The sequence below is a fragment of the Homo sapiens genome, chromosome 3, assembly GCF_000001405.40.
Source record: "Homo sapiens chromosome 3, GRCh38.p14 Primary Assembly".
Taxonomy (NCBI): domain Eukaryota; kingdom Metazoa; phylum Chordata; class Mammalia; order Primates; family Hominidae; genus Homo; species Homo sapiens.
This window is the reverse complement of record NC_000003.12, coordinates 172080849-172107088: the sequence shown is the minus strand read 5'-3', so window position 1 is coordinate 172107088 and position 26240 is coordinate 172080849. Positions and strand designations below refer to the sequence as shown.

At 37.2% G+C, this 26240-nt stretch overlaps 1 protein-coding gene across 11 annotated transcripts in view, besides 3 other annotated features; it reads right to left on the bottom strand.

Annotated features, from left to right (window-relative positions):
- The window catches only part of FNDC3B (fibronectin type III domain containing 3B), a 362092-nt gene that overhangs the window by 294581 nt on the left and 41271 nt on the right, over positions 1–26240 (bottom strand). For 4 of the 11 annotated variants that reach the window (XM_024453717.2, XM_047448756.1, XM_047448754.1 and 1 more), the window contains exon 2: positions 25690–25726. The exons of 6 other annotated variants lie outside the window; for them this stretch is intronic. The gene's annotated coding sequence lies outside the window, so the exon portion shown is untranslated. Of the gene's footprint in view, positions 1–2297; positions 2369–25689; positions 25727–26240 lie in introns of those variants that run through there. One more of the 11 variants, XM_024453716.2, reaches the window with a different exon arrangement.
- Positions 3045–3244: an enhancer, noted in NCBI's record as "active region_20818". NCBI's record gives its function as "activates an Ori minimal core promoter by ATAC-STARR-seq in GM12878 lymphoblastoid cells {active_cell/tissue: GM12878}" and the evidence as "EXISTENCE:reporter gene assay evidence [ECO:0000049][PMID:35858748]".
- Positions 3810–3954: an enhancer, noted in NCBI's record as "145 bp enhancer 67 fragment used in the MPRA reporter construct; PK_construct_309". NCBI's record gives its function as "activates an SV40 promoter by MPRA in HepG2 cells {active_cell/tissue: HepG2}" and the evidence as "EXISTENCE:reporter gene assay evidence [ECO:0000049][PMID:23512712]".
- Positions 3876–3889: a transcriptional cis regulatory region, noted in NCBI's record as "HNF1 motif; enhancer activity is reduced when this motif is scrambled". NCBI's record gives its function as "necessary for full MPRA enhancer 67 activity {active_cell/tissue: HepG2}" and the evidence as "EXISTENCE:site-directed mutagenesis evidence [ECO:0005528][PMID:23512712]".

The window sequence follows — 26240 nt, the reverse complement described above, 5'->3', positions numbered from 1 at the left end:
GCAAGCCACTGGTTACCTTCTAGCAAGACCCCGCATTTCCAACAATCCCTGAGCTCAAACGCAGGGTTTGGGGCAGGACACTCTGGAAACAGAATGAACAGATCCTCACTGTTAGTAAGACATTAATTCCACCCAAATATGTCCCCAAAGCTTTTAAAGAAAACTTTAAAAGAATATTACAAAAGATCTTCAGTTTTTGCATTTCTCTAGGCAACTAGCTTATTCCTTTTTCTTCTTATTTTGCTTCCTCTTCTCCAAGTCTAAAAAGATTTTCCATGGTACTTTGGTCCCAGCCTATACTAAGAAAGACACAGGCCAAATTCATGAAAAACAACGATTCGCAGAAGAGAACTGCAGCCCCCACCTGCAAAGGGCCAAAGCAATTATATACTAGGAAGAATGTCTAACTTAAAGCCAAAGCCCTAATCACTGCTGGGAGAGTTTTTAAGTCTGTGAAACTGGCCTTCAAATTAACAACAAAATGTCCTGGTCCTCACTCTGAGGGCCAATGACCCAAATTTCCTTACATTAATTCAAGATGTGAGTTAGCAGTACAGTACGCAAATTAATTTCAAATGACAAGAGAAAAAGAAACATAACAGTACCAAAAGGAACAAAGTATACCCATCAGAACCAAACCCACCGGGCCAGCCTGGATGAGAGGAATTGATTCCCTGAGTTTAATTACAAGCCAGGCTGAGGCTCCCAGGCCCACTTCACCAGCACCCTAATGAGACCTCCCACTAACTTTGACTATCCTGGAGCAGTGTTTAAAAAGGTCAGTGGAAAACTGGGCATGGTGGTGCACACCTGTAGTCCCAGCTACTCAGAAGGCTGAGGCAAGATGATGGCTTCAGCCCAGGGAGTTTGAGTCCAGCCTGGGCAACATAGCAAGACCCTGTCTCTTTAAAAAAAAGGTTGATGGAGTAACATAACAAGTAAGTAGAATGTATGTGTTCAGTTTTAACTTTTCACTTCCATACTCCAATTCAAAACCCATCAAATACAAGCACCCATAAAGCAACTTGAAAATAATATCAGAATTCATACCACTATAGTTAACTGTGATTCCAAGTACTCCATAAAGCTAGTCTTTTCCAACACAGATTAACCAATCACCTTCACACACTTTAAACATAACAACATGTAAACATTTTGCTTGCTACATGCTTGTTCTGTAGCCTGAAAAATATATTGTCACAGACACAGTAAAATCAGCTCAATTCGTACTTCATGAAAATTTCCTTCTCTACTAAAAATACCCACTGACCTCTAATAGTGAGAATCTATAGTGGGTCAAGTTTCAGAAAATACAGCAGAGAAACATCCTGGCCATTTGTATAACAGTAATAAAATGCCTGTAATCCCAGCACTTTGGGAGGCCAAGGCAGACAGACTGCTTGAGCTCCGAAGTTCGAGGCCCGTGTGGGCAACATGGCGAAACCCCATCTTTTTTTTTTTTTTTTTTTAAGAAAACAATAATAATGGGGGAAGAAAATTCCTGATTCAGGGGGGTGGGGAAAACTACATGAATACTCAAAATGCAATCTGACTTACTGAATCACAGAAAACACAGCTTTGCTGTATTGTGTTTGGAGAAAGACGGATTTGGGATGTTACTAAGAAATTACTATACTCTACATACTCTTGTAAAACAATAAGATAGCTAATGTTTTATGAGTGATTATAAGACTAGTTTCTAAATGGCTTCCAATATAAAACCTAATAAAAATTTATTATGACAAACATTTGTGCAGCTGATTTACACTGGTTTGTGCCTTGACTGCAGTTAAAAAAATAAACATCTAGAAGTTAAAATTTGATACGGAATCATATACACAGAAAAAAGAAAAGAAAAACTGCATTCATGAACCTCCCCCCATACACCCCGGGTGGCCTTTATGTATAAATGCCATCAGTCACAAGGACAGACAGTTTCCTAAATGTGTACTTCCTAAGTTTTATTATTAGCAAAACTTAGAAAAGAGAGGGAAAGAGAGAGAGCAAAGCAAGGTAGTCAGTTGGGGCACACATTCCTACAACTAATGGAATGTCAAAGTATCATTTACTATTTTATTTTCCTCATTAGAAAAACCTCTTTCCTTCTTGATCAATGCTGGCTTTGAAAGGTTGACTGATGTTTCAAGACCTAGAAACTCTGAAAATAGTTGTCATTTCTAGCCTTTCAGCAAAACCAGAAACTGCTTTTGATAATAACCATGGAAACACCAACAGCATCAACAAAAGGAAAAAAATTTCATTAAAACAAAATAGAAACACAATGTGATCTTCTTTACCTCTGAAATTCTGGGAAAATCTGCTCATCCATCAACACACACCTGACTGTTTTGACCACTTCCCTGCTACTGTGAGAATATGGCTTTTCTTTCTCTTCCCAGTAACACTACACCAATGCCTTGGCATTGGCTCTGCCCATGTGGAATTAGCATGTCGCCATTATGAACCTGATGTGGGACACTGCCATTGGACAGGAGAAACCTAGAGGTTGTTTTAGTGCTTTTCCTTGAGCTAATCGCTCCTGTACACTTCAGGCAAACATTCCCCTTTGCTTTTTAAAAAATCAAATTAAGTAGCACAAAAAAAGGATATGGAGAGGGACTAAGAACTGTTATTAGAATTTTTCACATCCCCTATGCTAAAAAAAACTTTGGAAAAAAAAAAAAAAACTATAGTGGACAGGCTCCAGCACTGAGTATTGGAAAACATGAGTTCTAATCTGGGATTTGTCAATAAAATAATTAGCTCTGAACTTCAGTAATTAATTTCCTCTTATAAAATGACAATATTATAGATTAGCCCTTAAGGTTCCTTTCTGATCTTAAGGGAGTATGTTTCCTCCCTTCAATACCAATTGCTTACCCTGCATACCTAATATTGATTAAACTAAAGCTTAAAAAAAGACACATAAAAAAACTTCTAAAAACCTGTTTCCTTCATTTAAGTACAGCTTGAGCCTTCTGCATAAAAGGAAGAATCTAAGTAAAATGTTGAGAAAAGAATGTATTGAGCACACAGTGCTGATAATCACTGTGTTTTTATGCCAATAAAATCTAATTTTACAGCTGAGTTCTATACAGCTGTGCAAGAAAGACTCTTGCCATGGCTTGCCACTTGAAGGAAAGAAGGAGTGGTGATAATTGTTCATGCAGAAAAACCTCTTGAGACATGAGCAGTACCTGGAGGTATGTGCCCAGCTGCTTGGTTGAGGCACAAACAGTCTGGAATTTGCCTTCTTGTCTGATATGTGTTCATTAGTGAAGTAAAATCACAGTTGTCTGAAAAAGTTCTTAACCTTAAAAACGTTCTTGCGTTTTACATCCAATTATAAGCATAAAAGATTTAGTCGGGAGCATTTAAATCCACAGAGAAATCCTGTGAAACTGAGTTTTTTAGATTAAAAACACCACCACTTCAGATTAAAATAAATACTAGGTTCAAGCAACAAGCCCAAAGGAACCATCCACTGTGCCCTTAAGTGCAAAAAGGGGATGGATGTCCCTATTGTATAGGCCCTGCCTTCAAGAATCCATAGATGCTTTTTAAACATTTTTGGCTTGGCATAATTTTAAATTTGGCAAAGCAGAGTCATGTCTGAACTCAAATCTAATGTACAGGAAAGCACTATTTTCTCGGGGAGAAAAATCCATATATATAAGGATTATGAGTAAAAATTACATGTAATTTGAGGCTGCTTCCGTAAACCCCTATTAATATAAAGAGGTTGCTTCCATAGCAGCCCGACATACCCCAAATTTTACAGAAACATAAAAACTAAATGGAAAAAAATTACATCACTATATATACACAATCTCTTGACCTCAGATCCACATCCTCACATAATACCAGCTCAGTTTTGCAAATATTAACTAAAAGGGAAAGGGGGCTTATCTACAAAAAAAGTTTACCAACCAAAGGTTCGTTTGCTTTGTTCGTTGTTTTTAAGTGGTATTTACATAAGCTTGCAGACGTAATTAACCATTTTTATTAGAACACTTAGATTCCAGGTACACTCATATCACAATACATCTCACACCCTGACATCCCAAGGATGACAGTCAAGTATCTACAAGGAAACATGCCAAAGCTATGAGCCCTTATTCTCACACATACCCAAGCTAACCTGGTCACAGCATCCAAACATGGGAATAACTGAAAATATAGATTTTCAGTGAAATTTGAAATGTTATGTGTTTCTGTAAGACAGTGAGAGAAAAGTCTACAGAACTGTAGTCAGATAGTGAAAAACATCACTTCTAAAGCCCCTTGAGGAAGTCTAATTCTAATCTGCACGGGGAGGTGGAAAGAGACAGGAAGTCAGAACACATGCTCCTCCTCCCCAGCGCCAGAAGCTCACGCTTTACCCAGCCCTTGCCCAGACCTTGGGCACTACACCTGCCTGGCACCCCACAGCACTTTGACAGGTCCCACTGCTTTTCAGGACTGTGGTTCAAGGTTTTCCTATGTAAGCTCTCTGTGTCTTAGTTTCTTTATGTATAATATGAATGATATGGCTGCTTAAGTACATGACTTCCAGATAGCCCTTTAATAAGATCCAAAATGTATTTTATTGTTCTATTTGTAGAGATCTATTACGAATCAAATTCACATTTGTGCATCAATTTGGGCACCTAAGAGACATGCATAACACCCTTGAATAGAAGAAAAAAAAAATGTGTTGCAAGCACCAAACAACTGATTGCTTTCTGGAAAGATGTGGAGGAAGAGCTTTGAAGCTGCTATTTCAGCCTGCTGGGGCAAAGGCACTGTTTGGGGCACCTGCACACTAATTCTTACCTAGCATCAAAACATCCTATGAAGTAGCTGGTATTGTCCATTTACAAATATAGTAACTAAGGCTAAAGAAATAATTTTCCCAAAGAGACTCAGAAAGTGATAATGAAAAGTCCATGCTCTTAGCGAGCTAATTGTAACATCTAAGAATCTGACAACAAAACCCAAGTAGAAGAGCTGGCTAAAATTTATATATAGGTTAGTGAGTTTTAAAGACTAGATAAAACAAGCACATGGTACAAAACAGAAAAGGTATCAAAAGGTAACTTTCAAAGACAACCCATGAGAGTACATCTCCCTCCTAAGGAGTGCTTGGTTCCCCTCCACAAAGGCTACAATTGAGTTTTTGGTGCTTCCTTACCAAAATGCAGACTTAATAATTTTTAGAGCACATTTTAAAGTAGCTTAAGGAAGATGAAGCAAATCCATTATACTACCATTTAGCCTAGATGGTTTAAAATTAGAGGGGGGAAAAAACTAGCAGAAACCAAATTATAAATTGCTAAAGTTATGTCTTCCATGGTGATTTTAATGAAATGTGCCATGATTAAACACAAAAGCAAAATTATTTCCAAAGGGCAGCAAGTTATTGATGAAGAGACTGCTAGAGTAATATCTTTGGTACAAAGGGTTTCAAGATTCTATTAATTTTAAGTAACTACTGTAAAATAAGTATAAAGCAGGTTGAAGGCTTCTCCCTTTAATAATAACAATATTCCAAAAGAAGGACCTAGCTGAAAGGTACCTTATAAAATAACATCAAACAAAAGAACTTGAAAAAAGGTAATCAACCATTGTGTTAACCAGATATTTACTGTGTACCCACTTTGTGGTGGCACTGTGCTAGAATTCTAGGGTTCTAGAAATAAAGGCATAAGGTTAAATAGCATTACAATGAAATGTTATACTCAGTTAACTAAAAACGAATCTGCATTGGACACTTCTGACGAAATACCACACAAAGTCAACAGACCTCCATGCTCTACGAAACCTTTCATCTGAGATAAGCCCCAATGTCTAAATTTGGTTTCCCAGCTGTGGCCTCTTTTCTAGACTTTGAAATCTGACAGGTGTTACAGAAGGTGAATTTGTCTTCAAAACATACCCCATGCCTTAACCTTCATTTCTGATCAGCCAGGAGGATACTAAAATTTTTTGTTTAATCAGCTCGTATAGAATTCAATCATGTTTATTTTACACACTCAGTTTTGTTTAACTGAACCGATGTTATGAAACATTCATTATAAGGAAAAGAATCTGTACCATTAAACATCACTGACAGTTCCTCCTATTTATACTTAAATATATATTTCAAAGATTTCTGACATAAGCAATTGTAGATATTGGTTCAAATATTTTTTCAAAAAATTATCTGATTCTCACTCCTGCATGGTTGGGGGGATGGAAATCAGTAAGAACACTGTCTGATACATTGAAAATCAGTTTAGAACTGTTTTTTATTAACTAAAGGCAAGTTATTTCTTGAGAAATATTACATTTAATGACATTCTCATAAGCAGCTTTGTTTTTCACTTAATGTGACCGAACATAAAGCAAATACCAGGTGTTACTTAGAGCTCAGAAGAGACCGAAACAGAAATTTCACATGAAATGACAACAGTTAACAAACAAACAAATTAGCAGGTGCAAAGACATACTGTGTAAGGGAATATCTATTTACTATTTCAGATTAGCTCATTATGATAAAATTTTAATATAAAGTATGTATATAGTCATATTACTAATTCAGATAAACATTTTGAAAACATAAAAATGCAAAATTCTCTAGAAAAATATTTTCTCTCGACAGAAAACTGTCGCACACCAGAGAATTAAGGAGATTTGTTTTATTTAATAGATAAGAATGATAATTGGTATATATATGGCTTATACGCAAATAGGTGAATTTCAGTGTTTGAAAGCATGGTGCTTGCCTATATTCTAAACACTGCCTGTGAACAATGACATTAATTTATACTAATACAATTTGTTAAGAAAAAGTAAGCAGCTACATCCATTCATTTAAGAAATACCTATTTAGTTTCTCCTCTGTGCAAGACACTCTTCTGTGCTGAAGTTACACAAATTCTAAATTTAAGGAATTCATTAACGGGTTTTAAAATTTTTCCAGAAAAATCTTTTTAAATTTCAGCTTTGGTATAAAAGGCATGTTCTCCAATTCAATTTTAGTACTTCTCCTTATATGAACACAAAAGACACACACAAAATATTTTTCAGTTAATGTCACCAATAAACTCAAAGAAGCAGAATGAAAAACACAAGTAACATTTTAGGATTATTAATGGTTTTGATGTCATGAACCCCCAAGAGGGTCTTAGGAGTACCCAAGGGTCTCCCAGACGACACTTTGAGAGTTGTTGCTCCACACAAGCAAGTTATACGTAAAAACATAAAAAAAACAGATTGCTGTCCCTCCTTTATACTTTCTATTATACAACTAGAGTTCACCTGACAGGGTCTAAAGGAAGAACAAATTAATCCAAATTAAGAGGTATTCTAATTCTACCACAGATGTCTCTCTCCAGGACTTTATGCCACACTCATTAGAGAACATTTGTGAGGCAAATTCATTTGGTAAATCATGAGAGCAGAAAAGCAGGCTGGAGGGCTAAGAAAACTGATGTTGGGGGCCAGGTACTTCCTGCTGGGGCTGTCAGCAGAGTACAGGAGAGGTGGAGACTTGACACCCATAAATCCAGGCCTGTTAGATGGGGATCCCCGTGCAATCTCTCCTGTAATCAGACTCATGCCCCAGATTCAAAGCAAATGATCAAACACTAAGGAAGTAACGACAAATAATATTGTGTTGCCATTCTTAAGGAAGAATCATATCTGCTCTGATCTCTAGACCTTCATTTACTGCTCAATGAGCCCATTTTAAGTCCCGCCATGATTTGATCTAGTATTTTCTAGGGTCATTCATTTATTTATGTCTTTCATCAAAGAACCCAAAAGAAGTCTTCCAAAGCATAAAGAGAACTTTTAAAATGAGAACCTCAAGTTTCAAATATAGACAAAGGAATTAGTAGGACATTGAAATTCAGTTCCTAGAGCAACAAATTAGCAAAATCAAAATATGCCACAGCTAATTGATTTGCATTCAACAAACAGATGAGAGACTTCCCTTTCATTTTTAAAAATAGATTTAACAAGCATATTAATTTTCCACTGGCCGCTATAAATAAATGGAACTCCAAAATATCTTTCTTTGCGAAGGCGTTTGCTCTAGCCAGTCACTGTTAGCCTGACCCTGAGTGGAATGTGTATTTACATTGCCGAGAGGCAGCATTGTGTGCTGGTGGGAAACCACTTCTCACAAACCTCCCATTCAACCGAGGACTCCACAATAGGTACTCACACAGGAAGCACGCCTTGCAAAGAGCACCTCTGCCATTCCAGAAAGAATTTTCCAAGGCAGCAAGGATGGTGGACCACTATAAATGCCATGTTCACAGGCCCTAACTGCCTACACTTCAGGGTCAACAAAGCCAGTGTTGTTCACAACCATTCCCCCGAGTTCTTCCCAAGGTGAAGGGGAAACTCAACAATTCCATTTCATTTTTCTAGATAATCTCTCAGGGTATTGCTTTGTTTTTCTTTAAAAAAAAAATACTAAGCCATAATTGTTTTTCTCAAATATTCTGGAAAGTACTCCCAAGAATCTACTGCTTTTTCAAAGCCAACTGAAAGGTGTTAACATTGAATGTGCAATTTTTAAAAAATCAAAACTTCAAATATTACTTCATAACTCCACTGATTCCTTAAATACCGATTCCTTAAATACCTTAAATACCGACCACTGTGTTTAACTGCAAAGCCAAAAAATTATTTTAACTCCTCAACTAGAAAAGCATGTACTGTCAGTAGTATCATGTTAACAATGACTTCTGTACAGGTACATGCAGGAAATCAAGACAATGGTGACTGCTTACACATGCCATCAAATCAACTGGTGAATGAAAAATGAAATTAATAAATAGATTTTGGCAATTCAATACTAAACTACTAGCCTCAGGGTTTGGCTTTTTCCTCCATACTTGAGCATGTAAGGAAGTACAACCTGGTTCTTTAAAAAAATGTGTTGATTAAATTCTCAATACCCCAACTTCCCAACCTGTACAAGAAAAGAGGCAGCTGCTTCCAACAGTGTTATCTTACGGCCATTAAATAAGTTAATAATATTGGGCAAAGGGCAACTCTTCTGGCTTATTTTTCTCATTTCTTAAAAAAAAAAAAAAATTTCTTGCAGCTCCAGCTCAAAGGATTATTTCTCAAATTAAAGGACTGAATTCCATGACCAATGCCCCTGCCAGTTCTACTAATCTATCAATTTGGGTATAATAATAAAGAATATCACAAGTAATACATACATCTCAAGGATTTACTGGAAGTCTACTTAAGGCAGCTGCTGTAAAATAAAAGATATGTGTATCCATGCCCATCATAAATAATACCATTTACTAGTGTCAGGAAGTTGCTTTTACAACATAGAAAAAGTAAACCAGACTATGAGGAAGTGTTCACAATAGAATGCTTAGTGCAATTTACACAGTCAGATTATATATGTATACACAATTTTTTAAAAGACTGAAATGAAATAGAACCAAAATGTTAATGCTTAACTTATGGATAATAGAATAACGAATAAGTTGTATTTTTCTTTTGAACTTGCTATATTTTTTAAAATATTCTACAATGAGCATCTATAATTTGTATAATGATATAAGTTAACTTTTTTAAGAAAACATAATTCAATTTACTTTGCACCATGTGATTGTTTAAATTTTTGTGAGGAAATACTTTCAAACCACCACATACAAAGAGACCTAAAGAATACAGGTTTTATCCAAGTCTCACAGAACTAATCGTCACCATTCTACTCTGGCTGTGGGACACAACAATGGAAGAACATCTGTGGTTAAGTAATAGATTTGGTAACATTTACAAAACCAGCCCTAAGGTCATGTTTGCTGAGTAATCCTTAGATTAGGCATGCTCACTAGGACCAACCCAAACAGCTAAAAAAGAGGGGTGGGGGAAGCAGGTTCCACAGCCTTACTTTTTTTAGATAACAAGTGCTCCATAAAATCCTCTTCCAACTGCCAAAATAAATCAAACTTTCTGGGTGGAGAACTCGCTGTCAATCAAATGGGAATCAGCAAAGATAAACCTAATAATAGAATCTGTTACATACTTACTTAGCTGTACTAACTATGCTAGTCTCTAACTAGCACAAAAGACTTCAAAAGCTCTTGCTTGAAAAGTACAGGGTGGGGTCAGAGATTTCCTTAGGAGCTGGCAAGCCTCATTCTTTAACAGTGGAAAAGTAACTACCCACTCTTATCTTTATGGGTTCTTTCCAGCCCACCCGCCCTCATCCCATACCTTTTAAAAATATTTGGCCCGTATTTTTATTCCCACATTCCTATGCGTTATAGCGTATAATACATGTTCACTCTAGAAATCTGAAAATACAGAAAAGCAAGAAGAAAGTTTAATTGTTCATAATCTCACCACTCAAAAATAGCCACTGTTAAAATGATGATGTATTTCCTCTCAATCTTGCTTTTCTATTTGAAATTTACAGTAAGGGGCTACAGATTATAATCAATCTGCCTATTTTTTTATTTTTGATACATAACAGTGATACTCATTACTTTAAAAAATAAGCAAGCTGGTTCCTAAATCACATTTTACTTCAGAGAAGATGGTGAAATTCTCCTCTAGGGTCCTGGACTCTGGCAGAAAGATGGCAATAAACCAGAAAAACAGATGATACAACAGGTATGTCCACTGTGCACTCAGAGGCACAATTTCTTTTTATATGATATTAGGCTACAATGACAAAATGCTTTTAGATTGTGTGCACATATTTTAAATAGAATTATTTAAATCCATTATGAAGACTGGATTCCATGAATTAATAAAAATGCAATTCCTTGTTTCTACGTTTATAGGTATGCAAGTTTCTGAAAGTTAAAGGGTGCATTTTCTATCTTCTGAGAGCTACAGGATGTTTTATGTTAACTGTCTGTAGCACCTATTTCACAACTATAAACCTATCCCAACCAATAATCAGAATGAATGTATGTACCAGGAACCAGGTTCAATGGCACTTTGCCCCAGAATACTTAATTAACCCTGAGCATCTAGGTTGTATTGTTACCAGTAAAATTCACAGAGAACCAAACTGGCAATATGTACGATGTGGCTTAAGATATTTTAGAACAATGTATGAAAACATACATCACAGTATGAAACAGTGAAAACTTGGAAGGTATTTTATCCATACAATGCAAAACTCTACAGCCAATTTTAAATGCTGTAGAAATCAATCTGCTAACATAGGAAGGTGTTCACAACACATTGTTTGTAGGGGGAAATAACAGGTTAACAAGGAAGTGCACGCTGTGATACTCTGTGCAAAACTAGGCTTTTTGTTTGTTTGTTTGTTTGTTTGTTTTTTTAACAAAGAAAAGAGTCTAGAAGAACATACACCAAAGTGTTCATAGTGATTTTGATAAAGTAGGTAGAAAGAAGAATCTTTTGATGTATCAATGCTCCAAGACTTTTTTAATGATGCTTGTGTTAGGAGAGGGGAAAAATAGTACACAGAACAAAGAGCATCTTAAGGGCAATCTGATCACATCTGTGCCAAATAATCTAACGGAAAAATGTGAAACAGATCATGGATATCTGGTCAAGGGTAATCCTATTAAACAAAACCCCTCTCTATGAGTACCCGATATGGGTCACTGGCTGCGACAATCTCTCTTCTAAAGCTGTGCTATAGCTCTCAGAAAAAGGTGTGAGCTGTTCTAGGCCCTTCACTTTGGGCCCAGTGGCGCCAATGGGCAGTGGTGGTGGGGACTGTGAATCTCCTAGAAGCTATTTTCAGTTTCAGAATATACCACAGAATCCCAAGTCTGAAAAAGAACTTTGAGAAGTTCAGCTCTGACTCAGGCTTGTACTGTATCTAAACATCCCTAGTAGATCAGAGGCTTCAAAATATCAAAACTTGGTATTTTTTTATTACACTATATCCTTCAGCTAATTATCCCAGGATTTCCTCTCTCAAACAGTTGGTAAAAATACATTTACTTTGAACAACAGGATGATAGGAATAGATAAGGTCAGAATTAGACAGAACTGTGTCTGAGTCAATGAAAAACAAAAATTGCCGAGTATTTTAAAATCACCATTACTGAAGAGAGTATTCCTTTGATGAAGTCTGTTACCTCTGACTCTTCCTTTCCATTACCACCACCAGCAGCAACACCCTAGTTCAGGAACTAGTCAAGTCACTACTAGATTCTGAAAAAGTACAGGACCCATTTACTCTGCCTACTGTCCCTGTCATGTCCCTTCTGTCCACTCTACCCTGCACATGCAGACCATGTAATTTAGTTCTGGAACCTCACTTCCACTAAGCCACTACACACCCGCTCACAGACCAGTGATTCTTCAAGCAGAAGCACCCATAAGAGATGGGGAACAGAGGACTTAGCACTGTGAGGGGAGTCATTCTACAACACTAACCATTCAGGTTAGAGTTTCTCCAGATATGTGCAGGAACTATCAGCAACAGAATTAAGCGGGGTGCTTGTTTAAAAACGCAGATTCCTCACAGATATTCACAGCAGCATTACTTAAATAACTCAAAAAGGAGAAACCATCCAACAGAAGAATGGACACACAAAAATGTATCCATTTTATGGACGCATAGCTTAAATGTATCCATTTTATGGATACATTCCTTAAAAAGGAATAAAATACTGATACATGCTACAGCATAGATGAGCCCTGAAAATATTATGCAAAGTAGAAAAGGCCAGTTAGAGAAGGCCACATAATGTACGATTCCCTTTATATGAAATGTCCAGAATAGGCAAATGTAGACAGAAAGTAGACTGGTGGTTGCTTGGGGCTGGGGTTGACGGTGGGAAGCAACTGCCAACGGCTATGAGGTTTCTTTTAGAAGGGACAAAAATGTTCTAGAATTTGCTAGTGGTGGTGGTTACACAATGCCGATGTTCTAGAATTTGCTAGTGGTGGTGGTTACACAATGCCGATGTTCTAGAATTTGCTAGTGGTGGTGGTTACACAATGCCGATGTTCTAGAATTTGCTAGTGGTGGTGGTTACACAATGCCGATGTTCTAGAATTTGCTAGTGGTGGTGGTTACACAATGCCGATGTTCTAGAATTTGCTAGTGGTGGTGGTTACACAATGCCGATGTTCTAGAATTTGCTAGTGGTGGTGGTTGCATAACGACATGAATATGCTAAAAATATTAAATTTTACACCTTAAATGCATGAGCTGTATGACATGTGAAATATATCTCAATACAGCTGTTTAAAAATCCAGAGTCCTCAGTTCTCACTTAGATCTACTAAACCAGAATCTCTGAAGGGAGGCCTAGATATCCTCCCTTTGAACAGAAAGAGCAGGCAGTGTGTATTCTCACGAAATTCTCCAGAAGATTCCTTAGTACACTAAAGTTAGCACTGCCTTTGATCTTTTTCTGAACCTTAAAGGCTATACCAGTGTATTTCCTTCCAGGTGCAGTGACTCACACCAGTAATCCCAGCACTTTGGGAGGTTGAAGAGGGAGGACAGCCTGAGGCCAGGAGTTCGAGACCACCCTGGGCGACACAGTAAGAGACCCACTCTCTAAAATATTTAAAAATTAGATGGGGCCGGGCGCGGTGACTCACGCCTGTAATCCCAGCATTTTGGGAGGCCAAGGCGGGCGGATCACGAGGTCAGGAGATCGAGACCATCCTGGCTAACACGATGAAACCCCTTCTCTACTAAAAATACAAAAAATTAGCCGGGTGCGGTGGCGGGCGCCTGTAGTCCCAGCTACTCGGGAGGCTGAGGCAGGAGAATGGCGTGAACCCGGGAGGCGGAGCTTGCAGTGAGCCAAGATAGTGCCACTGCACTCCAGCCTGGGTGACAGAGCAAGACTCCGTCTCAAAAAAAAAAAAAAAATTAGCTGGGTGGGGTGGGGATACTGAGGTGGGAGGATCAGGAGGTCAAGGACCCAGGAGTTTAAGGGGTAGTAAGCTATGATTATGCCCCTGCACTTCACCCTGAGCAACAGAGCGACAATCCTGTCTCTAAAAAAAGATTCTGGCCAGGTGCAGTGGCTCATGCCTGTAATCCCAGCACTTTGGGAGGCCAAGGTGGGAGGATCGCTTGAGCCCAGTAGTTCAAGACCAGCCTGGACAACATAGAAAGATGCCATCTCTACAAAAAATAAAAAAGTAGCCAGGTGTGGTGGTGCACACCTGTAGTCTCAGCTCACAATCTCAGCTACTCAGGAGACTGAGGTGGGAGAATCACTTGAGCCCAGGAGGCAGAGGTTGCAGTGAGCCATTATCATGCCACTGCGCTCCGGCCTGGGCAACAGAGTGAGACACTGTATAAACAAAACAAAAAAATCTAATGTATTTCCTACTCTGCCCTACACAACCCTCCCATGTGAACAGTGTCCTGATACTGGGGAGCAAGAGACCGCTGCTGAGCTTTTGCTCTTGCTATTCTCTCCTCCTCTTTTCCAGGACACCCACAGTTCTGTCCAGGTCGTGCTACTTAAAGCTACATCAAAATTACTACGGTTCACAGTAACCTCTACAGAGAATCCTTAGGGTCTTCCTATCCTCATGCATGAAAGGAGGGTGATGGACTGGGTAATGACTAGACTTTCTCCCATACCTGAAATTATGAGCCTCTCTGAGAGATACTCAAAAAAGACTCCAGGCAAACAGCCTTTCCTCCATTCAGTCCACGTTTTACATCCACATAATAATGTGTATTGAGCAATTTTCTCCCCCACTTAATAATGTGTGGGGAAGCTAAATAAATTAAGGAAGAATCTTTTTGTTAAGGCTCAGAAAATGTATACCTAACACAAGGTAGAGTCCAGCATATGACAGGGGCTCAGGCATTTGATGAACTCCTTAACTGATAGCCAAAAAGTCAATCGTTTAGCTTGAATCTCTTCCTGGATCTCCAGGTTTGCTGAGGAGTCCATACAGAGCTTTTGCATGGAGAGACCTGTCATTCTGTGCTGCTCTGTTTGACATAGGAGGTTTGCTGTTCTTCTACTCCAAGATGATATTATCAACCACTATCATAAACACTTGAAATGTGCATTGTTTTTTCTATCAGTAATGATGGCTTTATGACAGCATTTGAGAGAAACTTAAGGTTAGAGGTGCCATGCATGGTCATGAAATGAACACAGAAAACTGACTCATCTTATAGTCAAATTTACAACCCTATTTGAGGCAATCTAAAGCCATCTGTTACAGCACTCCCCTACCCCCTCACCTCCCTAACACACACACACACACACACACACACACACACACACCCCAGTAAAGTCAGGGCACTGTGAGTAATATTACTAGAAGCTACACAATTTTGACCATTTCTCTTTAGTGACTACTCTTGTCAAGATGACTAAATACAAATTCCACATGAAAATGTGTGTTAAGAGGTATTTCCTACAAATAAAAGCCAACTTTTGAAGATAATTTTTGCACCATATTTAACAGATATGAATACGTATTCTTATATGTTTAGCAACTGCAGTGACAAAGTTACTTCCTAAAGCTAAAATTAAGATGCTCCAAAGCAAATATACACAAACATGCATGCATGCATACACACATACACAAACGCACACACACTTTTCAGAACACTAGGAAACTACAAAGTGCTTGATACTACAATGCTCATCTCTAAATCTATTTTTAAAATTCTGACTTCTGTAATTTCTAATCATATTTTTTCATACATCTGCAAATTAAGGGAAAATATCTACCTTTTCTTCCATATGTACTGCCTCTATTCACATTTTAAAATTACATAGATAGAGCAAAACCTTGGTAATTCAACTTAATTGAAGAAAAAAGGCCCATCTAAATGTATGAAAAGAAGCATTTGCAACAAGAAATTTAAAGGCAGCTAAAACTTTCAACAGCACTGACAGGTGGAAATCCTCTGTACTTAACAGATAAGACATACTTGTATCTATAACAGTTACTTAAAAAATATTTTCCCAAATACTTCAGAAGAGTTTTATTATATTCTACTCCTTCCCTCCACTTCCCCAAGCCCGTCCTTGTTTTACTTATTTCCTAAACTCTTCATAGGCAATGAAGAAATTACTGGGATGAAAAGTAGTTATATAGGTTCAGTATTCCTCACCTGAAATGCTTGGGACCCTAGGTGTTTCAGATTTCAGATCTGAATTTTCAGATTTTGGAATATCTGCATATACATAATACAAAGTATCATATACAGGTATCTTGGGGATGGGACCCAAGTCTAAACATGAAATTTCTGTTTCACATACACCCTTATACACATAACCTGAAGATAATTTTATACAATATTTTAAATAATATTATACATGAAACAAAGTTTTGGCTGCAACCAGTCACACAAGGTTGGGTGTGGAATTTTCCACTGTGGCATCCTGTTGGCACTCAAAAAGTTTCAGATTTTGGAGCATTTTGGATTTTCAAATTGCAGATACTCAATCTGTATTATCTTCAGTACCCGGATCACACAAGGTAAAGAATAATTTAGTTTTGTGAGCTGGATCCTAAGTAACAGGAAAAAACTGAAAGGGTGCCATTTCAGTTCATTTTCACAACCCTATCCCACTCCATGAGCAAGGAAAGTGATTAAGAATACTGCTCTGGAGAAGCAGGAAACTTGGATTATTCTGTTCTCACCAAGAACTATTTCTGTGTTCCTAAGCACAAGTCCTTCTCCAGCTCCCTGTTTGTTTGTTTGTTTGTTTGTTTGTTTATTTTTGGTCACAGCCCTAGGTTTCCTCTCACATGCCCACTCCAATTGACTTTGGTACCTGCCTAGAGTGCAGAGTTGAGAAAGATTCACTGCCCCCGCTCAGTGATAATTAGAGATGGCTGTCAAGGTCATGGGATTAAGGAGCTAGGAGATGTGCATCACATATTTGCCATCCACTGGTTAGAAAAAAGCACCAAGGACCTGCCTGCTCAAGTTTTCTCAGTAACAACAGTAGCAGAAAAAAGGAGGCACGTTTGAAGTTGGACGAGTTGTAGAGAAAAAGACAAAGTCTCTGGCTTCCACTTCTAATTCACTCAACATTTCAGAGATAATATTAATATCTGGAAATTCGGAATAGACTAATTTTAAAAATTTTAAAGCAGTATCTAACAATTTACATATCAGGATTAAACACAACTGTTCAACTCATATAACAGCCATCACAACTGACAGATATCACACCCAAAACACTGATACAAATGAATTATATATGTCGAAATCATATTTGTCATTAACGTTGTAAAAAGTTGAGATGGCCGACCTGGGAATTCATTCCCTCAGTTGTTCAAACATTTACTCGGTATCTTATGCAGCCGGCACGGTGCAGACCCTAGATACATAGTTTTCCACTTATGGCTGACTTTGTAATTGAGCTATTCAAGAGATTTTTAGATAATGAATCGACACTGAGATTTTCAAACCTCCATGCCTTGATCTTCACAAGACAGCCTTATTAGAATCTTGATTTTTTTAATGTTCCAAGAGTCTTCTGTCAGAGATATTAAGATAGTGCTATGACTGAAATTATATTAATGGCAAAAATCATAATTACTTTTGTACCCACCCAATAATTTAAAATCTTCATACTGCTGAGGGCTTAATACACCCTACATTCGATTTGTGCATGGTATGTGTTGTGCCGTCCCCTACCTTCGATCAACTGATGACTCAGTACTGATCTTCCCAGGGAAATCCTCCAAACCTCTGCGGACAGCTGTGCCACATTGCATCCTGTTTCCAACATTCACTAAGGAAATTTCCTCATCCCTAATGAATTCTTACTGTTTTTTTCTAGGGTTTAAGAAAATCCTATGGTAAAATATCCTGCCCCTAGTTTTATACTGTACCCCTATAACACACATTTTAAAAGATGTTTTCCTACACTCTTGATTCAAATATTTAATTTGGAAACAAGAATTAGTAAAGTAATAATAATTTGTGCTGAACTAATTTTTACTTTTACTTTGCAAATTAAATAATTAATAATTTGTGAACTAAATTTTACTTTGTCCTATGGGTATTAGTTGCTCACTATGAATTTTGAGAGCTCACAGGACATTGAAAATCCCATTTATCCAAAACTAATTCTGTGAAATTCAATACCATGACAAGTCAGTGCTCTTGTCAATGCCTTTTTTGTCCCGTAGAAAGCTAATTTATCACTTAAAACAGAACCCTGAATATTATTTGGCTATTGTCTGTAAATTTTAAAATCTTACAGTTGAATAAATGAGTAAAAATATTACTATTGTTATAGCTTTTGTACAAGCTAATCATTTTAAGCATCACACATTCCACAGGAGAATACTGTCAACACAAGTAATCATAAAATCATAATGGCTACCTTTTGTAGAATTTATTTAAAATGTGGTTTTTAAATGATCAATTGCATTTCTTTTTTAGATTTCACTATGTAAAATTTATCTTTTTATTTATAAGTGTAACACTGGCACCTACTTTTAAATCAATTTATGAAACCATTCTCTTTTGTAGGATAAGTATTGTCATTGAAATATACATCTTATAAAATACAGTTTAAAGAAATGTAATAGCTATGTACAAAACATTTCAAACATTTATATTCAGCAAATCAATTGCATTTCAAAATATAATTACGAAGGTACAGACTTGTGTGATTTGATGTATGGGCATTACATTTAATTTAAAACATACTTTACATGGGATTCATTCTAGCACGAGAGACACTGACTGAAACCCACATGATACTGAGGAAAGATGACCGTGGTGGCCATCTGGAGATTTGGGTTTCAGTTCTGTTATGTATGCTAGCTGCAGGAGTTAGGTTTCTCAGTCTACATTTATTTGCAACATAAAAAGGTTGGACTAGACTACCTGCAAATTCCCTTCTAATATGAACTTCTGTGGTACCAGTACAGCGGTTTTGCTAATTTAGGATTCAAGTTGTAAATAAAGGCCTACTTGGAAGAAATTTTCCCTAGAAAGTACCTTGTTTAGCCACATAACTTTATAGAAAAATTACAATAGCTGTACAACACTCATTTAGGTCACACCTTGAATGATAAGCATTTTTAGGCTGTCAGCTTTTCCAGGAACAAGATGTGGCAGGCAATTTCCTGGTTCTAAGCATATGACTTACTCTGAAAAAAACGAATGGCTGAGGTGACGAATGATAAAAGCTTCAAGATACATGAACCAAAGTGGTATATACTACATTCTCATCTCTTGCTAATGTGGACTATCTTCTCTTGCATATTTCTAACTATTTAGAGATCTCCAATTATTTGGAGATCTAGAGCTAGGGCTCTCAAATTCTCAATCAGCCTTCACGTGCTACAGAAAGATCACAAATGGAGAAGCATTGAATTCTTATAGCCCCTGGCAAATACCAAAGATTCCAAATCATATTTGTACATCAGCATTAATTTTTCCCCAGTGAGGGTTTGATTTCATTTCCAGCATGTTACAACCTATACAAGTTTTAAAAATGCAACATCAGGATTTAAAATTTGCAATGAAATTTGAAAAAAAAATTTTTTTTAATCAGCAGCACCTCTGAGATTATCTATTCCATCCCTTATTTTTCAGAGGTCACACCACTGATTAATGGCAGGATAAGGTCTCTTGCTTCTCAAATCACTTCAAATTTCTAAGCATATTTTCCACCTAAGTTTACAAAGGAAATCTAACCAAGTTATAAGCTCTTTTAACGCCCACACACATATGCACTCATTCTTACTTATCAAATTCCAAAATGTTAATTATCCCACTGTCTTTCCCTATTACATCAGCCTCTATGTGAGAAGTCCCAAACCTGGCAAGTAGTACGGCTCACAGAGAAAACAAGTATTATCTATGTGAATAACAGCAAGTCTCTAAAAGACCAACAGCAGAAGAAAAAGATGGCTTCGGTCAAGCTGATAGTTTATAATATAGGCAAGGTAAGTTATGCGCCTTAACTAGAAGTACATTACCTAAAAATAGGAAATCAATTCTTTTCAAAAAAGGTATATTTATTTTCTAAACAAAAGAAAGATGACTCAAAATTATCCTTCTCATTCCGTTTGGATTCTACACTGTTTTGAGCATGCCACTTCCTTCCATCTCCGGGAGTGGCTTGGAAGAAATGGAACTATAAACTCTGGTAAAAGTGAGGAAAAGCAAGAAACCATGTGAAGCCAGGAACTCACCACCTGTGGTGTCTGTTCTTTAATAAATCTATCCAGGTGAAAATTTCTAAGGTATGTGACACAGGAAAAATACTCTGCTACATGCTAATACATCTTCTGTAGAAAACTTCCATCAAGCTTGAGAAACTCTGAGTTGAAGAGCTAGAAGTTCTTTAACACTACACTTCAAAGAACTTTTAATATACACTGAGAATCTCCCCAAGGCCGAACGTTTTTGAACACACAAACTTTTTAAGATCTAATGTTCACTAGAGAATGCCTTTTGGATAACTCTGATCTAACAACTTAATTCTTTTCAATTCTCCTAATGAGATTATGTGAAATCCCAATTTTATAAAGATTATATGAAAATAAGAAATGTTATTAGCATTTCACTTACATAGTTCCTTTAAATAAGAACTTAGGCCAATTTTTACATAAAGAGTCACATAATCAAATAGGCAATTCATGAGTCTAAAGGACTAATTGTACAATCTAATTTATCCATATAATAACAAAACACAAGTCACATTTCCACATTAAACATGGCTTGAAATTGCCAATTTTCCAATGTACCCTTGGAAGCATATGCCATTTGTTCTTTATATTAAAAGGGAAGCAGAGCTTTTTTTTTTTTAAAGATCAGGTCTTGCTCTGTCATCCAGGCTGAAGTGCAGTGGCAGGATCATGGCTCACTACAGCCTCTACCTCCTGAGCTCAAGCAAACCTCCTACCTTAGCCTCCCAAGTAGCTGGGACTACAGGTGTGTGCCACCATACCCAGCTAATTTTTAATTTATTGTAGACACGTCATCTCTTTATGTTGCCCAGGCCAGTCTCAAACTTCTGGCCTCAAGTGATCCTCCTACCTCAGTCTCCTAAAGTGCTGGGAATACAGGTGTGAACCACCATGCCTGGCCCAGAGCTTAATTGTTTAGGTCTTAGACAACAAATCTCAAGCATTCATTTCTCCTGGATGAAATATCACTTTTTACAAGTAATATTTTTTAAATCTTTTGCAATTTTTGCCACCTTTACAAACAGAAAAATAAAAGCTCTCTAGAATAGAGACTATGTATACACCTATAGAGCCCTTCTAATACTGTATCTGAGAAACAAGCAATGTGGCCATGCACTTTTAACATCCGAATCCATTATGCATTAATAGTTCAACAAAGGAAGCACTTTTCCCCAGACTCACATTCCATGCTACCACTTCCACAGTCAAAGCACTGAGGTTAATTCCTTTGAATTGCTATCTCTTCTCTTCTGCATACCATCAGCAATCATAACCATAATCATAAAAAGTCTAGACCTCAAAGAAGCAGAGGTCTTAGATAAACACATCAAGGGGCTCCAAGTTTCAATTGCCTAACAAGGGCCATGGAGGCAATGTCGATGAGTGAAGTGGTTGACCTTTCCTTTATTTCCTTTCAAAAAACATGGCTGAATATTTCTTCATATTTAAAAATTAAAGAATGTAAAAGATGGGAAAAAGCAACTGACAACTCAGCTTCGGTATCAAGAGTTAACAGAGAGTCAGGGGGACTGTGGTAAACTAGAGAGCAAATGCCCTTTCTTAACAGTGAGCTGCTATTTAGTTCAAGACCTTCACTAACCATATAGGAATGCAGGCCATGTTGTCAGATCTTTCAGTTTCTAAAGAAAAAAACAAAACAAACAAACCAAAAAAGCTAGAAATCTTATTTTACGTGAAATCCCTTAGTTCTTAAATGTTGCTTGCAAAGTTTTTAAAACACTCTACAAAACCAAACGCAAAAAAATCTGTAGGCCATATCCTGAAGCCCAGCTTTACAAATTCAATCTCATTGATCAAATCAAATGAGGTAAGCAGTATCATCCCAAGATGTCCCACCACTTGCTCAAAGCTGAAAACATAATCTAAGATCAAGGAGATGATCTCATCACCTTGTAGCACCACGTATTTACCACATGTTGATTCATTTCATCACCAAATTTACTATGGAGCTGGAGAACCCACTATGCATTAATATGCTGTTCCAGAAATTGAAACTTCACCAGTGCCCAAGACAAAAAAAGAAAGGCAAAAATTCTTGTTCTCATTAAGTTTACATTCTCGTAAGGGGAAAGAAACAATGAACATAATAAGTAAATTATGTAGTATGCAAGAAAATGATACATACTATTTTAAAAAACAGAACAGAGTAATTGAAATCAGGTGCACTAACTACATAGTCTCCTACTTTATGAAAGTTTTATTTGGGGCCAAAATCTTTTCTAAGGAGATAAGAAGCCGAATACGGCCAAACCATGTAACTGGACAAATTAACCTTGAATGTCTCAGTTTCGTTATCCATAAAATAAAGATACTGTTGCCTGATCTATGTAGCCCCAACTTACGTTGAAGACAACCATTAGCTAAATATTTGAGTGAACAAAAGTGAAAATAATAACACTATTTTAGTGGTAGAAGCATAATACTGCCTCATAAATCTTTCCAGAGATTCAGAATATACGTGTGTGTGTGTGTATGTGTGTGTGTGTATACATATACATATTTTTTTTTTGAGACAAGGTCTCACTCTGTCACCAGGTTGGAGTGCAGTGGCACCATCTCAGCTCACCACAGCCTTGACCTCCCAGGTTCAGGTGATCCCCCGACCTCTGCCTCCCGAATAGCTGGGCCTACAAGCGTGCACCACCACGCCCAGCTAATTTTTTTTATTTTTTTGTAGAGACAGGGTTTTGCAACATTGTCCAGCCTGGTCTCAAACTCCTGGCCTCAAGCAATCCTCCCACCTTGGCCTCCCAAGCTACTGGGATTAAAGACGTGAGCCACGGCACCCAGCCCAGAATACTTTGTAAACGTCCCAAGCCCTTTGATCCTTCAGAAGTAACAAGTAGCCACTAAAATCATTAACGTTTCCCTTCCATTCTGATGTTGACTGATCCAAAGGCCACAGAACTGTGGCAACCTCCATGAACTCTAGGAGAGGCTTTTACTTTTTTATACCTCTCTATTGTCTGAAAAAAAAAATTTCCTTTACTAAGAATATAAATAACTTTCACAATTAAAAAGAAAAATAAACTAAGGTCACAATGCAGTTAAGAAACAGAGCTAAACCTATGCCTGGGTCCACCTGGCTACTATACTTTCATTTCACAAAAAGATTAATAGATTTAACAGTGTAGAAACAAGATTTATAATTCCTGATTTCTTTTAGTATTTTTTTATTATAATCTGACCACATCTTGAAATCGTAAGAAGACGTCAATATACAGAAGAAATCAAGTTCTTTATATTTTCTACCCATCTTCACTCTAATTATCCAGCACTTACCATTTTCATTATGAATTTGCTTCCTAACAACTACCTGATGTCTTGTATTCTCTGTGAAGTTGCTAGTGAAGTGTTTTATTTGATTGTCCCAATTATAGGACATGATGGTTTTGAGACACCCCTCCATAGGTCTCTCATGCTTCTACATATCCTGCCATTTTGTATCAAGGCCATTTCTCAAAGTTATGTTTGCAGTGAGCAATGTGAACAGACAGATGAGGTAGTATCTTCCCCCTTGGAACAAAGAGCAAGTTCATTTACTGCATGCTATAAAAGCAGCAGATTCTCCGAGTTCAGTGTTCCTCAGCAGCAACGCAAACCCAAAGTGTGTGCAGCTCCATCTGCACGCTCCATCCTTATCACCCCTGTGGGACATGGAGGCAAGGACGAACCAACATAGGCATGCCAGTAAGCCCTAAGCATAAGAGTTTACACTATTTGGTATGTCAGGAGTAATACAGTCCTTTTTCTGTGGTACAGGAACCCCTTGTCTTCTCCCAGCATCCATGAAACTGTGGCAGGCTAACTATCACTTGAAGTAGGGTACAATCAAAACCCAGACTCAACAACATCAAATCAAGTTAAATAATCACTTATTTATTCTGAGATGTTGTTCTTGGTAAGCTTACACACCACACTTGCAAACATTCTAACCCTAACAGCATGCCTAGTTTCCTTTGTACTTTATCACTAAGGCACACAAACATATATACAGACATGAAATATCGTACTTCATACTGGGTTTCAGAAATACTTAATAAACTTCAATGGAATCTAGCTGTCACTAATTCAGTACCTCTTACTTCTAAATGAGTAGAGAGCTACATCTGGATGTGAAACTGGCATTTCCAATCCAGTCTTCTACCCTTTCACTCCCTCAGCACAGACCACTTCAGAGAAAAGAAGAGTAAGTTTTAGGCAAAGAGTCATAAAAATCCACATTAAGTCAAACTTCTCTGGGCCTGAATCTGTTTACCCACAAAGCAAGAGGGCCAGACCAGAGGGACTTGTCTCTTTTTCCAGTTACAATTCCAGTGATTCCACGTTCAGCCTATACATGGGTGGAACATTCTTTGCTGCTTCGTTCAGTGCTGGAGTAGGTTACAAAGTGTGGTCCTGCTGAACGGCTGGAGAATGAACTAGATGTCCTCTCAGGATGACTCCCGGCCCTATAATCCCATGATGTGCTTATAATGGAATTTGGCTGTCCTTATAATTAGAAATGTAGCTTGCTGGTCACACATCTGGATCAGATAAATCTGCACAAAGAGCATTTCACCAGAAGCAGAAATGCCAAGCATCCAGCAGCTGTGTCGTTACATCAGCCTTGCAAATAACAAGGAATACTATTTGTCCATAGAAAGTAAATGACTGGGTCAGGCAGGAATAAAGCTAAGTTTATTCACATTATTTGGGGACAGGAAAAAATGTTTATGAAAACATATATTGGTCAGACCTCCACATTAATGAATGAGACTGATGAGGAAAATAATTCATATACACAAAAGAATTCAAATGCCAAAACTATATCCTTATTTCCTGCCACCTTAATGATGAGTTTCTTTTTACTGAACTTTTATAAATGTAATAGGCTCCCCTGACTTGCATCTCAACATATCACACAGAATTGTGAACCTAATCCATAATTAAGTATTATCAAAGTGTCAAATGTACTCTGGGAATATTCACATCCATAGAAAATAAATGTGCTTCAAGTTAACAATTAATTTCACTCAGCCATTGTGCCCAGATAATATAAAACAAGAGGAAATTATTTTCCTTAAAAGAAATAAAAGCTCTTTTTAGTCAATTAGGTAAGCATTAACTACCTTTCACTTTGAAGCACATTTCTTAAAACCAAATGCTTAATGCACTAATCTAACTGCTCTGAAGAATAACTGCCAAAAGGTATGACGAGTGACAAACAGGTATGAATACCAAATCTGTCACCTGTTACTAACCTTACCAACAGAGCCATTCAATCTTCTAATTTATAATACTGCTCAGAATTTTATTTTCTGCATCCAAAAGTGTATTCAGCATATTATCGATCTAAGGAAAAAGAAAACTTTTCTATCAAGTCGATGCCTTATTTTGAAATGTATGTATGGAATTAATCTTAAGGTTTTATCCTGTAAAATGTAAAACTCAAAATAGAGTCACTTTATATACAACTATTATGTACCCATAATAATTAAAATTAAAATGTTAAAAACAGTCACTTTACATACAAAGCACAAATATGGAAAATCACAATATTAGCATGACTGCCCTTACTTCAAAATTCCAGGCTCATGTCAATAAGTTTTGTGCTCTGTAAAGAAAAAAAAGAGAACAAAAATCAGAGAGCTACTGAGACAAAAGAAATGCCACCGACACCAAGGTTACATTTCTGATTAATGGAGAAAACAGTGATGATTACAGAAGTAAAGTAAGACAGAAGCAAATTTCTGTAGTTGCTAAGTGGGAGAATCCAAAAGGTAATCTAACTCTCAGTTCTTACATCTGTAAACCACTAGTGCCAATCAATACCTATGATCAATCCTGAAGAGAGTACTGGGATAAAAAAGTCAACCGAATAGATGAATCTTAGGGAAAATAGAGTTACTACATCACAACTTTCAATCTCTATATATCAATTGTTAAAGTAAAATCTTAGACTAGCATGACACACTGATGGTCAGTTAATCAATTTTTAAGAGTGCATTAACTATTTCCAAACAATGGGAAACAACGTAAGCAGCTGAAGTCCTTAACTTACATGAATTCCTAAGTAAGTTACTATAAGGAAAATGAGTCCAACACTTGAAACAATCTAACAGTTGGAT